We start from the raw sequence: 17,418 nt of genomic DNA on the forward strand, positions 1-17,418 counted from the left end.
GTAAGGAGTTCGAGACCAGCCTGGCCAACATGCTGAAAACCCCATCTCTACTAAATATACAAAAATTACCCGGGCATGGGGACGGGTGCCTGTAATCCCAGCTGTTCAGGAGGCTGAGGCAGGGGAATCGCTTGAACCCGGGAGGCGGAGGTTGCAGTGAACAGAGATCGTGTCACTGCACTCCAGCCTGGGTGATAGAGTGCGACTCCGTCTGAAAAAAAAAAAAAAAGAATTCAAGGGCCGGCCGGTGGTTTTAGACGGCAACCTTTACCGAAGCCTCAGTGCACAGCCACAGCAGAGGGACACACACCTGTATCTTTTCTAAGACTGGGAGAATTTTACAATTGCTTGACTAATTGAACAGTGCCTCGAGGATGTTACACTAGGTTATAAATAAATTCCTGCCGTGTTTAGCTGAGGCACGAACACAATGCCCACTGACAATTCCACTTTCCTCGAGGGCCATTCTTTATGAAAGGCTGTAGGAGTTCCACGACATTGTTGATTCCTGGATTCTCCAAGTCTCTAGAACTTGAGAACTACTTTTGTGTATTTTTTTAACCTTTAAGTTCAGAGTTTCTAATGTCCGTTTTATACTACTATAAAATGGTACTATGTATTCTTTATTGATGGTACTATTTACACTTTATTTTATACAGACTCTGGCTCCACAAAAAGGTTAAAAATTAGCCAGGTGCAGTGGTGCACATCTGCGGCCCCAGCTACTCAGGAGGCTGAGGCAGAAGGATTGCTTGAGCTCGGATGGTCAGGGCTGCAATGAGCTATGATCACACATCACATCAATGCACTCCAGCCTGGGCAACAGAGTGAGACCCTGTCTCTAAAAGAATAGAAGAGGCTGGGCGCGGTGGCTCACGCCTGTCATCCTACCACTTTGGGAGACCAAGGCGAGTGGATCATTTGAGGCCAGGTGTTCAAGACCAGCCTGGTCAACATGGCGAAACCCCATCTCTTGGCAGGCGACTGTAATCCCAGCTACTCAGGAGGCTGAGATAGGAGACTCCCTTGAACCGACGAGGCGGAGGTTGCAGTGAGCGAAGATCACACCACTGCACTCCAGCCTGGGCAACAGAGCAAGGCTCGGTCTCCCAAAAAAAAAAAAAAAAAAAAGACACATGGAAGTAATTTAAAAACACTTAGGAAGATGTCATTTCTTCCTATCAAGGCGTCCTCCCTTTATGTTTTGTCGTTATATTGGGAACGATAAAAAAAATCCTTTTTTCCGACCCATGTGGACCAGGCTGGCCTCGAACTCGTGCCCTGGAACCCCCGCCTCCGTGAGGGCCCGAGGGCAGGCGCAACCGGCCTGAGCCACAATGGCTCCGGGTGTCGGGGCTGTCCTTTAGTCCCTTTGATCTTACGCAGGGTGAGGGAGCCAATCACCAGAGGCTCCCCCCTGTCGTCACCCAGTCCCCAGGGCCAGTGAGGGCCCTGCGTTCCATGGCGCCCCCTGGAGGGAGGAAGGGGAACTGTATCTGAGAGTTCAGTATCTGACAATAAGGAAAAGGCATAGTAGATCAGATGGTGCCTAGTGTTCTGGGGAGAAGAAACAACGGGGTTGGGGAATGCGGAGTTGCAGTTTATAATACAGGCCTCATGTATAAGGCAGACCTCATGGGGAAGGTAACATCTGTGCAGAGAAATGGAGATGAGGGCTAGGAGCCATGCAAATACTGGAACATGCTTGCCAGCAGAAGTCGAGAAACATGGCCGGCGCAGTGGCCCACACCTGTAATCCCAGGACTTTGGGAGGCCGAGGCAGGTAGATCACGAGGTCAGCAGTTCGAGACCAGCCCGGCCAACATGGTGAAACCCTGTCTCTACTAAAAATACAAAAATTAGCTGGGTGTGGTGGCACACGCCTGTAATCCCAGCCACTTGGGAGGGTGAGGTAGGAGAATCGCTTGAACCTGGGAGGTAGAGGTTGCAGTGATGCAGTGAGCCGAGACCACGCCATTGTACTCTCGCCTGGGCGACAGAGCGAGACTCCATCTCAAAAAAAAAAAAAAAAAAAAAAAAAAAGCAAAAACAAACAGGTGAGATTCATTTTGATAAAATAGCTGATTTAACCTAATATACCTAAAACATCATAATTTTAACATAATCAATAGAAACATTTTTGCAAGATTTTATGTTATTTTTTACCATACGACGTCTTGGAAATCTTGGTTTGGACCAGCCATGTTCAACTGCTCAGTAGCCATGTGTGGCCAGAGGCGGCCGTATTGGACAGTGCAGATGGTGCATGAGGGTGTTCGGGCAGTGGGAACAGCCAGTACAGAGGCCCTGTGGGGGCACATGCCTGCTGCTACGGGAACAGTGAGGAGCCCCGTGTGGCTGCAGTGGAGTGAGAGGGAGAAGGTGGGAGATGTAACCAACAGTCTCATCATTCATTCATTAAATCCTTTTTTTTCTTTTTTTGAGACTGAGTTTCGCTCTTGTTGCCCAGGCTGGAGTGCAATGGTGCCATCTCGGCTCACCACAACCTCCACCTCTTGAGTTCAAGCGATTCTCCTGCCTCAGCCTTCCGAGTAGCTGGGATTACAGGCATGCGCCACCATGCCCGGCTAATTTTGTATTTTTAGTAGAGCTGGGGTTTCTCCCTGTTGGTCAGGCTGGTCTCGAACTCCCGACCTCAGGTGATCTGCCCGCCTTGACCTCCCAAAGTGCTGTGATTACAGGCTTGAGCCACTGCTCCCAGTCCATTGAATGTGTGTATATATAGTTGAATAAAGAAGACACCGGAGTTTGTTCTGTATCTTCTCCTTTCAAATTCTGTGCCATTTGAATTTTTTCCTATTCCTTTTATATATTTTTAATTGACAAATTGTACATATTTATCATGTACATATTGTTTTGAAATATGTATATACCGTAGAATGGCTAAATCAAGATCATTAACATATGTATTACTTTACCTATTTTCCTTTTTTCGTTGTGTCTCTGCCAGGTTTCGGTATCAGAATGACTCTGACCTCATAGAATGAGTTAGAGAGCAGTTGCTCCTCCTCAATTGTGTGGAATAATTTCAGTAGGATTGGTGCCGCCTTTTCTTTACACGTCTGGTAGGATTCGACTGTGAATCCGTCTAGTCTAAGGTTTTTTGTGCTGGTTGGTAGGTTTTGTATGACTAACTCAATTTTGGAACTCATCGTTGGTTTGTTCAGGGTTTCCATTTCTTCCTGGTTCAATCTTGAGAGGTTTTATGTTTCCAGGAATTTCTCTATTTCTTCTAGTTTTCTAGTTTGTGTGCATAGAGGCATGTGGAATAGTCTCAGGGTTTCTTGTATATCTGTGGGTCAGTGGTAATGTCACCTTTGTCATTTCTGATTGTGTTTATTTGGATCTTGTCTTTTTTTCTTTATTAATCTAGCTAGTGGTCTTCCCATGTTATTTATGCTTTCAAAAATATCAACTTTGTATGAATTAACAGCATTTGCCGTGACCTGGATGAGACCGGAGACTGTTATTCTAAGTGAAGTAAGTCAGGAATGGAAAACCAAACATCGTATGTTCTCACTGATATGTGGGAGCTAAGCTATGAGGACGCAAAGGCGTAAGAACGATACAATGGACTTTGGGGACTTAGGGGGACGAGTTGGCGGGGGCGAGGGATAAAATACAACAAGTAGGGTGTAGTGTATACTGCTCAGGTGATGGGTGCACCAAAATCACAAATCACCACTAAAGAGCTTATGTAACCACACACCACCTGTACCCCAATAATTTATGGAATAAATAATAAATAAATAATTTTTTTAAAAAATCAACTTTGGGTTTCATTGATCTTTTGTATGGTTTTTTACGTCTCCATTTCATTCAGGTCAGCTCCGATGTTGGTTTTTTTTTTTCTTCTGCTAGCTTTGGGGTTGATTTGCTCTTGTTTTTCTAATTCCTCTAGGTGTGATGTTAGGCGGTTCATTTGAGATCTTTCTAGCTTCTTAGTGTAGCCCTTTAGCACTAGAAACTTCCTTTGAGCACTGTTCTAGCTGTGTCCCAGAGATTCTGGGATGTTGTATGTTTGTTTTCATTAGTTTCAGATAATTTTTTTATTTCTGCCTTAATTTCAGTCTTTACCCAAAAGTCATTTGGAAGCAGGTTGTTTAATTTCCATGATGACTCTAGGCCGGGCATGGTGGCTCATGCCTGTAATCCCAGCCACTTGGGAGGCTGAGGCAGGAGAATCGCTTGAATCCAGGAGGCAGAGGTTTCAGTGAGCCAAGATCACGCCACTGCACTCCAGCCCGGGCGACAGAGTGAGGCTGCGTCTCAAAAAAAAAAAAAAAAAAAAAAAATTGCCCCTTCTTAAGTTTGCATTTAGATCTCTTCTCCTTTGACCACTTTTAATTTATCTTCACTTCTGATATGACATTTAATTTTTCATTCATTTTCTGTCTATTATTGTTCCTTTTTTAACTTAAAAAAAAATTATGTACTTTATGAATTTCTGTTTCAAGGTGTTTTTCCCATCTCCAAATGCTTATTTGAAAATGTTTCCTTTCCTCTTGGTTCATTTCTTCTGGTGTGTGTGTGCGCGCGCCCGCGTGCATGTGTGTACTCGGGTCTCATTTTCTGCTTTCTTCCTGCAGTACCTCGTTTATGGGAGATGCACTTCGCTTTTGTTATTTTTTTAGTAGAGAGGGGGTTTCACTGGTTTAGCCAGAACAGTCTCGATCTCCTGACCTCGTGATCCGCCCACCTCGGGCTCCCAAAGTGCTGGGATTCCAGGAGTGAGCCACCGCGCCCGGCCGTCCACTTTGCTTCTTGCAGAGGCTGATGGTTTGAGTAATTTCCGAGATTCATAGCTCGAGCGCGCCCTGTTCTGTCTATGCAGTGAAGGGCAGCTTTTTGCATCCACGGCTTTTTGTTGGCAAGGAGGAATGTGCAGTGGCCAGATTTGTTTCTTCCCCTTTTGTTGCTGTTGTTGTTGTTGCTGCTGCTGTTATTGTTGTTGTTGTTGTATTTTATTTTGTAGCATCCTAAAGTGTCCCCTCCTTCTATTTCTTATCCTTATCCAGGTAGGGTTTAGAAAAGCTAACTTCAGGGGCAGGGGAGAGAGAGAAAGAGAGGAAGAGAAAATGAGAATGAATGACAATACATGAACCCATGGGTCAACCTTTATTTCAAGGCAGCCCAAAAGGACGGCTCTCCCTTCTCTTTCACTCTCTTCTCTAGGTGTGAAGCTGATGCAGCACAGGCGAGCCCCAAAATTGAGGCTTAGCCCGGGGGGGTTCTTGGCTTCTCCTAGAAACTAATTCAAGAAGCCGGGCGCAGTGGCTCACGCCTGTAATCCCAGCACTTTGGGAGGCTGAGGCGGATGGATCACTTGAGGTAAGGAGTTCGAGACCAGCCTGGCCAACATGCTGAAAACCCCATCTCTACTAAATATACAAAAATTACCCGGGCATGGGGACGGGTGCCTGTAATCCCAGCTGTTCAGGAGGCTGAGGCAGGGGAATCGCTTGAACCCGGGAGGCGGAGGTTGCAGTGAACAGAGATCGTGTCACTGCACTCCAGCCTGGGTGATAGAGTGCGACTCCGTCTGAAAAAAAAAAAAAAGAATTCAAGGGCCGGCCGGTGGTTTTAGACGGCAACCTTTACCGAAGCCTCAGTGCACAGCCACAGCAGAGGGACACACACCTGTATCTTTTCTAAGACTGGGAGAATTTTACAATTGCTTGAATAATTGAACAGTGCCTCGAGGATGTTACACTAGGTTATAAATAAATTCCTGCCGTGTTTAGCTGAGGCACGAACACAATGCCCACTGACAATTCCACTTTCCTCGAGGGCCATTCTTTATGAAAGGCTGTAGGAGTTCCACGACATTGTTGATTCCTGGATTCTCCAAGTCTCTAGAACTTGAGAACTACTTTTGTGTATTTTTTTAACCTTTAAGTCCAGAGTTTCTAATGTCCGTTTTATACTACTATAAAATGGTACTATGTATTCTTTATTTATGGTACTATTTACACTTTATTTTATACAGACTCTGGCTCCACAAAAAGGTTAAAAATTAGCCAGGTGCAGTGGTGCACATCTGCGGCCCCAGCTACTCAGGAGGCTGAGGCAGAAGGATTGCTTGAGCTCGGATGGTCAGGGCTGCAATGAGCTATGATCACACATCACATCAATGCACTCCAGCCTGGGCAACAGAGTGAGACCCTGTCTCTAAAAGAATAGAAGAGGCTGGGCGCGGTGGCTCACGCCTGTCATCCTACCACTTTGGGAGACCAAGGCGAGTGGATCATTTGAGGCCAGGTGTTCAAGACCAGCCTGGTCAACATGGCGAAACCCCATCTCTTGGCAGGCGACTGTAATCCCAGCTACTCAGGAGGCTGAGATAGGAGACTCCCTTGAACCGACGAGGCGGAGGTTGCAGTGAGCGAAGATCACACCACTGCACTCCAGCCTGGGCAACAGAGCAAGGCTCGGTCTCCCCAAAAAAAAAAAAAAAAAAAAAAGACACATGGAAGTAATTTAAAAACACTTAGGAAGATGTCATTTCTTCCTATCAAGGCGTCCTCCCTTTATGTTTTGTCGTTATATTGGGAACGATAAAAAAAATCCTTTTTTCCGACCCATGTGGACCAGGCTGGCCTCGAACTCGTGCCCTGGAACCCCCGCCTCCGTGAGGGCCCGAGGGCAGGCGCAACCGGCCTGAGCCACAATGGCTCCGGGTGTCGGGGCTGTCCTTTAGTCCCTTTGATCTTACGCAGGGTGAGGGAGCCAATCACCAGAGGCTCCCCCCTGTCGTCACCCAGTCCCCAGGGCCAGTGAGGGCCCTGCGTTCCATGGCGCCCCCTGGAGGGAGGAAGGGGAACTGTATCTGAGAGTTCAGTATCTGACAATAAGGAAAAGGCATAGTAGATCAGATGGTGCCTAGTGTTCTGGGGAGAAGAAACAACGGGGTTGGGGAATGCGGAGTTGCAGTTTATAATACAGGCCTCATGTATAAGGCAGACCTCATGGGGAAGGTAACATCTGTGCAGAGAAATGGAGATGAGGGCTAGGAGCCATGCAAATACTGGAACATGCTTGCCAGCAGAAGTCGAGAAACATGGCCGGCGCAGTGGCCCACACCTGTAATCCCAGGACTTTGGGAGGCCGAGGCAGGTAGATCACGAGGTCAGCAGTTCGAGACCAGCCCGGCCAACATGGTGAAACCCTGTCTCTACTAAAAATACAAAAATTAGCTGGGTGTGGTGGCACACGCCTGTAATCCCAGCCACTTGGGAGGGTGAGGTAGGAGAATCGCTTGAACCTGGGAGGTAGAGGTTGCAGTGATGCAGTGAGCCGAGACCACGCCATTGTACTCTCGCCTGGGCGACAGAGCGAGACTCCATCTCAAAAACAAACAAACAAAAAAAAAAAGCAAAAACAAACAGGTGAGATTCATTTTGATAAAATAGCTGATTTAACCTAATATACCTAAAACATCATAATTTTAACATAATCAATAGAAACGTTTTTGCAAGATTTTATGTTATTTTTTACCGTACGACGTCTTGGAAATCTTGGTTTGGACCAGCCATGTTCAACTGCTCAGTAGCCATGTGTGGCCAGAGGCGGCCGTATTGGACAGTGCAGATGGTGCATGAGGGTGTTCGGGCAGTGGGAACAGCCAGTACAGAGGCCCTGTGGGGGCACATGCCTGCTGCTACGGGAACAGTGAGGAGCCCCGTGTGGCTGCAGTGGAGTGAGAGGGAGAAGGTGGGAGATGTAACCAACAGTCTCATCATTCATTCATTAAATCCTTTTTTTTCTTTTTTTGAGACTGAGTTTCGCTCTTGTTGCCCAGGCTGGAGTGCAATGGTGCCATCTCGGCTCACCACAACCTCCACCTCTTGAGTTCAAGCGATTCTCCTGCCTCAGCCTTCCGAGTAGCTGGGATTACAGGCATGCGCCACCATGCCCGGCTAATTTTGTATTTTTAGTAGAGCTGGGGTTTCTCCCTGTTGGTCAGGCTGGTCTCGAACTCCCGACCTCAGGTGATCTGCCCGCCTTGACCTCCCAAAGTGCTGTGATTACAGGCTTGAGCCACTGCTCCCAGTCCATTGAATGTGTGTATATATAGTTGAATAAAGAAGACACCGGAGTTTGTTCTGTATCTTCTCCTTTCAAATTCTGTGCCATTTGAATTTTTTCCTATTCCTTTTATATATTTTTAATTGACAAATTGTACATATTTATCATGTACATATTGTTTTGAAATATGTATATACCGTAGAATGGCTAAATCAAGATCATTAACATATGTATTACTTTACCTATTTTCCTTTTTTCGTTGTGTCTCTGCCAGGTTTCGGTATCAGAATGACTCTGACCTCATAGAATGAGTTAGAGAGCAGTTGCTCCTCCTCAATTGTGTGGAATAATTTCAGTAGGATTGGTGCCGCCTTTTCTTTACACATCTGGTAGGATTCGACTGTGAATCCGTCTAGTCTAAGGTTTTTTGTGCTGGTTGGTAGGTTTTGTATGACTAACTCAATTTTGGAACTCATCGTTGGTTTGTTCAGGGTTTCCATTTCTTCCTGGTTCAATCTTGAGAGGTTTTATGTTTCCAGGAATTTCTCTATTTCTTCTAGTTTTCTAGTTTGTGTGCATAGAGGCATGTGGAATAGTCTCAGGGTTTCTTGTATATCTCTGGGTCAGTGGAAATGTCACCTTTGTCATTTCTGATTGTGTTTATTTGGATCTTGTCTTTTTTTCTTTATTAATCTAGCTAGTGGTCTTCCCATGTTATTTATGCTTTCAAAAATATCAACTTTGTATGAATTAACAGCATTTGCCGTGACCTGGATGAGACCGGAGACTGTTATTCTAAGTGAAGTAACTCAGGAATGGAAAACCAAACATCGTATGTTCTCACTGATATGTGGGAGCTAAGCTATGAGGACGCAAAGGCGTAAGAATGATACAATGGACTTTGGGGACTTAGGGGGACGAGTTGGCGGGGGCGAGGGATAAAATACAACAAGTAGGGTGTAGTGTATACTGCTCAGGTGATGGGTGCACCAAAATCACAAATCACCACTAAAGAGCTTATGTAACCACACACCACCTGTACCCCAATAATTTATGGAATAAATAATAAATAAATAATTTTTTTAAAAAATCAACTTTGGGTTTCATTGATCTTTTGTATGGTTTTTTACGTCTCCATTTCATTCAGGTCAGCTCCGATGTTGGTTTTTTTTTTTTCTTCTGCTAGCTTTGGGGTTGATTTGCTCTTGTTTTTCTAATTCCTCTAGGTGTGATGTTAGGCGGTTCATTTGAGATCTTTCTAGCTTCTTAGTGTAGCCCTTTAGCACTAGAAACTTCCTTTGAGCACTGTTCTAGCTGTGTCCCAGAGATTCTGGGATGTTGTATGTTTGTTTTCATTAGTTTCAGATAATTTTTTTATTTCTGCCTTAATTTCAGTCTTTACCCAAAAGTCATTTGGAAGCAGGTTGTTTAATTTCCATGATGACTCTAGGCCGGGCATGGTGGCTCATGCCTGTAATCCCAGCCACTTGGGAGGCTGAGGCAGGAGAATCGCTTGAATCCAGGAGGCAGAGGTTTCAGTGAGCCAAGATCACGCCACTGCACTCCAGCCCGGGCGACAGAGTGAGGCTGCGTCTCAAAAAAAAAAAAAAAAAAAAAAAAAATTGCCCCTTCTTAAGTTTGCATTTAGATCTCTTCTCCTTTGACCACTTTTAATTTATCTTCACTTCTGATATGACATTTAATTTTTCATTCATTTTCTGTCTATTATTGTTCCTTTTTTAACTTAAAAAAAAATTCTGTACTTTATGAATTTCTGTTTCAAGGTGTTTTTCCCATCTCCAAATGCTTATTTGAAAATGTTTCCTTTCCTCTTGGTTCATTTCTTCTGGTGTGTGTGTGCGCGCGCCCGCGTGCATGTGTGTACTCGGGTCTCATTTTCTGCTTTCTTCCTGCAGTACCTCGTTTATGGGAGATGCACTTCGCTTTTGTTATTTTTTTAGTAGAGAGGGGGTTTCACTGGTTTAGCCAGAACAGTCTCGATCTCCTGACCTCGTGATCCGCCCACCTCGGGCTCCCAAAGTGCTGGGATTCCAGGAGTGAGCCACCGCGCCCGGCCGTCCACTTTGCTTCTTGCAGAGGCTGATGGTTTGAGTAATTTCCGAGATTCATAGCTCGAGCGCGCCCTGTTCTGTCTATGCAGTGAAGGGCAGCTTTTTGCATCCACGGCTTTTTGTTGGCAAGGAGGAATGTGCAGTGGCCAGATTTGTTTCTTCCCCTTTTGTTGCTGTTGTTGTTGTTGTATTTTATTTTGTAGCATCCTAAAGTGTCCCCTCCTTCTATTTCTTATCCTTATCCAGGTAGGGTTTAGAAAAGCTAACTTCAGGGGCAGGGGAGAGAGAGAAAGAGAGGAAGAGAAAATGAGAATGAATGACAATACATGAACCCATGGGTCAACCTTTATTTCAAGGCAGCCCAAAAGGACGGCTCTCCCTTCTCTTTCACTCTCTTCTCTGCGTGTGAAGCTGATGCAGCACAGGCGAGCCCCAAAATTGAGGCTTAGCCCGGGGGGGTTCTTGGCTTCTCCTAGAAACTAATTCAAGAAGCCGGGCGCAGTGGCTCACGCCTGTAATCCCAGCACTTTGGGAGGCTGAGGCGGATGGATCACTTGAGGTAAGGAGTTCGAGACCAGCCTGGCCAACATGGTGAAACCCCATCTCTACTAAATATACAAAAATTACCCGGGCATGGGGACGGGTGCCTGTAATCCCAGCTGTTCAGGAGGCTGAGGCAGGGGAATCGCTTGAACCCGGGAGGCGGAGGTTGCAGTGAACAGAGATCGTGTCACTGCACTCCAGCCTGGGTGATAGAGTGCGACTCCGTCTGAAAAAAAAAAAAAAAGAATTCAAGGGCCGGCCGGTGGTTTTAGACGGCAACCTTTACCGAAGCCTCAGTGCACAGCCACAGCAGAGGGACACACACCTGTATCTTTTCTAAGACTGGGAGAATTTTACAATTGCTTGACTAATTGAACAGTGCCTCGAGGATGTTACACTAGGTTATAAATAAATTCCTGCCGTGTTTAGCTGAGGCACGAACACAATGCCCACTGACAATTCCACTTTCCTCGAGGGCCATTCTTTATGAAAGGCTGTAGGAGTTCCACGACATTGTTGATTCCTGGATTCTCCAAGTCTCTAGAACTTGAGAACTACTTTTGTGTATTTTTTTAACCTTTAAGTCCAGAGTTTCTAATGTCCGTTTTATACTACTATAAAATGGTACTATGTATTCTTTATTTATGGTACTATTTACACTTTATTTTATACAGACTCTGGCTCCACAAAAAGGTTAAAAATTAGCCAGGTGCAGTGGTGCACATCTGCGGCCCCAGCTACTCAGGAGGCTGAGGCAGAAGGATTGCTTGAGCTCGGATGGTCAGGGCTGCAATGAGCTATGATCACACATCACATCAATGCACTCCAGCCTGGGCAACAGAGTGAGACCCTGTCTCTAAAAGAATAGAAGAGGCTGGGCGCGGTGGCTCACGCCTGTCATCCTACCACTTTGGGAGACCAAGGCGAGTGGATCATTTGAGGCCAGGTGTTCAAGACCAGCCTGGTCAACATGGCGAAACCCCATCTCTTGGCAGGCGACTGTAATCCCAGCTACTCAGGAGGCTGAGATAGGAGACTCCCTTGAACCGACGAGGCGGAGGTTGCAGTGAGCGAAGATCACACCACTGCACTCCAGCCTGGGCAACAGAGCAAGGCTCGGTCTCCCCAAAAAAAAAAAAAAAAAAAAAAGACACATGGAAGTAATTTAAAAACACTTAGGAAGATGTCATTTCTTCCTATCAAGGCGTCCTCCCTTTATGTTTTGTCGTTATATTGGGAACGATAAAAAAAATCCTTTTTTCCGACCCATGTGGACCAGGCTGGCCTCGAACTCGTGCCCTGGAACCCCCGCCTCCGTGAGGGCCCGAGGGCAGGCGCAACCGGCCTGAGCCACAATGGCTCCGGGTGTCGGGGCTGTCCTTTAGTCCCTTTGATCTTACGCAGGGTGAGGGAGCCAATCACCAGAGGCTCCCCCCTGTCGTCACCCAGTCCCCAGGGCCAGTGAGGGCCCTGCGTTCCATGGCGCCCCCTGGAGGGAGGAAGGGGAACTGTATCTGAGAGTTCAGTATCTGACAATAAGGAAAAGGCATAGTAGATCAGATGGTGCCTAGTGTTCTGGGGAGAAGAAACAACGGGGTTGGGGAATGCGGAGTTGCAGTTTATAATACAGGCCTCATGTATAAGGCAGACCTCATGGGGAAGGTAACATCTGTGCAGAGAAATGGAGATGAGGGCTAGGAGCCATGCAAATACTGGAACATGCTTGCCAGCAGAAGTCGAGAAACATGGCCGGCGCAGTGGCCCACACCTGTAATCCCAGGACTTTGGGAGGCCGAGGCAGGTAGATCACGAGGTCAGCAGTTCGAGACCAGCCCGGCCAACATGGTGAAACCCTGTCTCTACTAAAAATACAAAAATTAGCTGGGTGTGGTGGCACACGCCTGTAATCCCAGCCACTTGGGAGGGTGAGGTAGGAGAATCGCTTGAACCTGGGAGGTAGAGGTTGCAGTGATGCAGTGAGCCGAGACCACGCCATTGTACTCTCGCCTGGGCGACAGAGCGAGACTCCATCTCAAAAAAAAAAAAAAAAAAAAAAAAAAAAAAAAGCAAAAACAAACAGGTGAGATTCATTTTGATAAAATAGCTGATTTAACCTAATATACCTAAAACATCATAATTTTAACATAATCAATAGAAACGTTTTTGCAAGATTTTATGTTATTTTTTACCGTACGACGTCTTGGAAATCTTGGTTTGGACCAGCCATGTTCAACTGCTCAGTAGCCATGTGTGGCCAGAGGCGGCCGTATTGGACAGTGCAGATGGTGCATGAGGGTGTTCGGGCAGTGGGAACAGCCAGTACAGAGGCCCTGTGGGGGCACATGCCTGCTGCTACGGGAACAGTGAGGAGCCCCGTGTGGCTGCAGTGGAGTGAGAGGGAGAAGGTGGGAGATGTAACCAACAGTCTCATCATTCATTCATTAAATCCTTTTTTTTCTTTTTTTGAGACTGAGTTTCGCTCTTGTTGCCCAGGCTGGAGTGCAATGGTGCCATCTCGGCTCACCACAACCTCCACCTCTTGAGTTCAAGCGATTCTCCTGCCTCAGCCTTCCGAGTAGCTGGGATTACAGGCATGCGCCACCATGCCCGGCTAATTTTGTATTTTTAGTAGAGCTGGGGTTTCTCCCTGTTGGTCAGGCTGGTCTCGAACTCCCGACCTCAGGTGATCTGCCCGCCTTGACCTCCCAAAGTGCTGTGATTACAGGCTTGAGCCACTGCTCCCAGTCCATTGAATGTGTGTATATATAGTTGAATAAAGAAGACACCGGAGTTTGTTCTGTATCTTCTCCTTTCAAATTCTGTGCCATTTGAATTTTTTCCTATTCCTTTTATATATTTTTAATTGACAAATTGTACATATTTATCATGTACATATTGTTTTGAAATATGTATATACCGTAGAATGGCTAAATCAAGATCATTAACATATGTATTACTTTACCTATTTTCCTTTTTTCGTTGTGTCTCTGCCAGGTTTCGGTATCAGAATGACTCTGACCTCATAGAATGAGTTAGAGAGCAGTTGCTCCTCCTCAATTGTGTGGAATAATTTCAGTAGGATTGGTGCCGCCTTTTCTTTACACATCTGGTAGGATTCGACTGTGAATCCGTCTAGTCTAAGGTTTTTTGTGCTGGTTGGTAGGTTTTGTATGACTAACTCAATTTTGGAACTCATCGTTGGTTTGTTCAGGGTTTCCATTTCTTCCTGGTTCAATCTTGAGAGGTTTTATGTTTCCAGGAATTTCTCTATTTCTTCTAGTTTTCTAGTTTGTGTGCATAGAGGCATGTGGAATAGTCTCAGGGTTTCTTGTATATCTCTGGGTCAGTGGAAATGTCACCTTTGTCATTTCTGATTGTGTTTATTTGGATCTTGTCTTTTTTTCTTTATTAATCTAGCTAGTGGTCTTCCCATGTTATTTATGCTTTCAAAAATATCAACTTTGTATGAATTAACAGCATTTGCCGTGACCTGGATGAGACCGGAGACTGTTATTCTAAGTGAAGTAACTCAGGAATGGAAAACCAAACATCGTATGTTCTCACTGATATGTGGGAGCTAAGCTATGAGGACGCAAAGGCGTAAGAATGATACAATGGACTTTGGGGACTTAGGGGGACGAGTTGGCGGGGGCGAGGGATAAAATACAACAAGTAGGGTGTAGTGTATACTGCTCAGGTGATGGGTGCACCAAAATCACAAATCACCACTAAAGAGCTTATGTAACCACACACCACCTGTACCCCAATAATTTATGGAATAAATAATAAATAAATAATTTTTTTAAAAAATCAACTTTGGGTTTCATTGATCTTTTGTATGGTTTTTTACGTCTCCATTTCATTCAGGTCAGCTCCGATGTTGGTTTTTTTTTTTTCTTCTGCTAGCTTTGGGGTTGATTTGCTCTTGTTTTTCTAATTCCTCTAGGTGTGATGTTAGGCGGTTCATTTGAGATCTTTCTAGCTTCTTAGTGTAGCCCTTTAGCACTAGAAACTTCCTTTGAGCACTGTTCTAGCTGTGTCCCAGAGATTCTGGGATGTTGTATGTTTGTTTTCATTAGTTTCAGATAATTTTTTTATTTCTGCCTTAATTTCAGTCTTTACCCAAAAGTCATTTGGAAGCAGGTTGTTTAATTTCCATGATGACTCTAGGCCGGGCATGGTGGCTCATGCCTGTAATCCCAGCCACTTGGGAGGCTGAGGCAGGAGAATCGCTTGAATCCAGGAGGCAGAGGTTTCAGTGAGCCAAGATCACGCCACTGCACTCCAGCCCGGGCGACAGAGTGAGGCTGCGTCTCAAAAAAAAAAAAAAAAAAAAAAAAAATTGCCCCTTCTTAAGTTTGCATTTAGATCTCTTCTCCTTTGACCACTTTTAATTTATCTTCACTTCTGATATGACATTTAATTTTTCATTCATTTTCTGTCTATTATTGTTCCTTTTTTAACTTAAAAAAAAATTCTGTACTTTATGAATTTCTGTTTCAAGGTGTTTTTCCCATCTCCAAATGCTTATTTGAAAATGTTTCCTTTCCTCTTGGTTCATTTCTTCTGGTGTGTGTGTGCGCGCGCCCGCGTGCATGTGTGTACTCGGGTCTCATTTTCTGCTTTCTTCCTGCAGTACCTCGTTTATGGGAGATGCACTTCGCTTTTGTTATTTTTTTAGTAGAGAGGGGGTTTCACTGGTTTAGCCAGAACAGTCTCGATCTCCTGACCTCGTGATCCGCCCACCTCGGGCTCCCAAAGTGCTGGGATTCCAGGAGTGAGCCACCGCGCCCGGCCGTCCACTTTGCTTCTTGCAGAGGCTGATGGTTTGAGTAATTTCCGAGATTCATAGCTCGAGCGCGCCCTGTTCTGTCTATGCAGTGAAGGGCAGCTTTTTGCATCCACGGCTTTTTGTTGGCAAGGAGGAATGTGCAGTGGCCAGATTTGTTTCTTCCCCTTTTGTTGCTGTTGTTGTTGTTGTATTTTATTTTGTAGCATCCTAAAGTGTCCCCTCCTTCTATTTCTTATCCTTATCCAGGTAGGGTTTAGAAAAGCTAACTTCAGGGGCAGGGGAGAGAGAGAAAGAGAGGAAGAGAAAATGAGAATGAATGACAATACATGAACCCATGGGTCAACCTTTATTTCAAGGCAGCCCAAAAGGACGGCTCTCCCTTCTCTTTCACTCTCTTCTCTGCGTGTGAAGCTGATGCAGCACAGGCGAGCCCCAAAATTGAGGCTTAGCCCGGGGGGGTTCTTGGCTTCTCCTAGAAACTAATTCAAGAAGCCGGGCGCAGTGGCTCACGCCTGTAATCCCAGCACTTTGGGAGGCTGAGGCGGATGGATCACTTGAGGTAAGGAGTTCGAGACCAGCCTGGCCAACATGGTGAAACCCCATCTCTACTAAATATACAAAAATTACCCGGGCATGGGGACGGGTGCCTGTAATCCCAGCTATTCAGGAGGCTGAGGCAGGGGAACCGCTTGAACCCGGGAGGCGGAGGTTGCAGTGAGCAGAGATCGTGTCACTGCACTCCAGCCTGGGTGATAGAGTGAGGCTGAGAATCAAAAGAAGAAAAAAAAAAAAAAAAAAACAATTCAAGGGCAGGCCGGTGGTTTTAGACGGCAACTTTTACTGAAGCGTCAGTGCACAGCCACAGCAGAGGGACACACACCTGTATCTTTTCTAAGACTGGGAGAATTTTACAATTGCTTGAATAATTGAACAGTGCCTCGAGGATGTTACACTAGGTTATAAATAAATTCCTGCCGTGTTTAGCTGAGGCACGAACACAATGCCCACTGACAATTCCACTTTCCTCGAGGGCCATTCTTTATGAAAGGCTGTAGGAGTTCCACGACATTGTTGATTCCTGGATTCTCCAAGTCTCTAGAACTTGAGAACTACTTTTGTGTATTTTTTTAACCTTTAAGTCCAGAGTTTCTAATGTCCGTTTTATACTACTATAAAATGGTACTATGTATTCTTTATTTATGGTACTATTTACACTTTATTTTATACAGACTCTGGCTCCACAAAAAGGTTAAAAATTAGCCAGGTGCAGTGGTGCACATCTGCGGCCCCAGCTACTCAGGAGGCTGAGGCAGAAGGATTGCTTGAGCTCGGATGGTCAGGGCTGCAATGAGCTATGATCACACATCACATCAATGCACTCCAGCCTGGGCAACAGAGTGAGACCCTGTCTCTAAAAGAATAGAAGAGGCTGGGCGCGGTGGCTCACGCCTGTCATCCTACCACTTTGGGAGACCAAGGCGAGTGGATCATTTGAGGCCAGGTGTTCAAGACCAGCCTGGTCAACATGGCGAAACCCCATCTCTTGGCAGGCGACTGTAATCCCAGCTACTCAGGAGGCTGAGATAGGAGACTCCCTTGAACCGACGAGGCGGAGGTTGCAGTGAGCCAAGATCACACCACTGCACTCCAGCCTGGGCAACAGAGCAAGCCTCGGTCTCCCAACAAAAAAAAAAAAGAAAGATACATTGAAGTAATTTAAAAACACTTAGGAAGATGTCATTTCTTCCTATCAAGGCGTCCTCCCTTTCTGTTTTGTTGTTATATTGGGAACGATAAAAAAATTTTTTTTTCAACCCATGTGGACCAGGTTGGCCTCGAACTCGTGCCCTCGAACCCTCGCCTACCCTGAGGGTCCGAGGGCCCGCGCAACCGGCCGGAGCCACAATGGCTCCGGGTGTCGGGGCTGTCCTGTAGGCCCTTTGATCTTACGCAGGGTGAGGG

The 17,418-nt window shown here is 45.8% G+C and overlaps 4 non-coding genes across 4 annotated transcripts; all 4 read right to left on the minus strand.

The window, feature by feature from the left end:
- Positions 1-1,226: 1,226 nt before the first annotated feature.
- SNAR-A9 (small NF90 (ILF3) associated RNA A9) lies at positions 1,227-1,347 on the minus strand. The gene has a single exon (NR_024226.1). It is a non-coding gene; the product is annotated as a small NF90 (ILF3) associated RNA A9 (small nuclear RNA).
- Positions 1,348-6,580: 5,233 nt separating this feature from the next.
- SNAR-A10 (small NF90 (ILF3) associated RNA A10) lies at positions 6,581-6,701 on the minus strand. Its single transcript, NR_024229.1, has one exon. It is a non-coding gene; the product is annotated as a small NF90 (ILF3) associated RNA A10 (small nuclear RNA).
- A 5,207-nt stretch (positions 6,702-11,908) lies between these two features.
- On the minus strand, positions 11,909-12,029 carry SNAR-A11 (small NF90 (ILF3) associated RNA A11). Its single transcript, NR_024225.1, has one exon. It is a non-coding gene; the product is annotated as a small NF90 (ILF3) associated RNA A11 (small nuclear RNA).
- A 5,222-nt stretch (positions 12,030-17,251) lies between these two features.
- On the minus strand, positions 17,252-17,371 carry SNAR-B1 (small NF90 (ILF3) associated RNA B1). Its single transcript, NR_024231.1, has one exon. It is a non-coding gene; the product is annotated as a small NF90 (ILF3) associated RNA B1 (small nuclear RNA).
- Positions 17,372-17,418: the final 47 nt, after the last annotated feature.

Source organism: Homo sapiens, chromosome 19, assembly GCF_000001405.40.
Source record: "Homo sapiens chromosome 19, GRCh38.p14 Primary Assembly".
Classification (NCBI taxonomy): domain Eukaryota; kingdom Metazoa; phylum Chordata; class Mammalia; order Primates; family Hominidae; genus Homo; species Homo sapiens.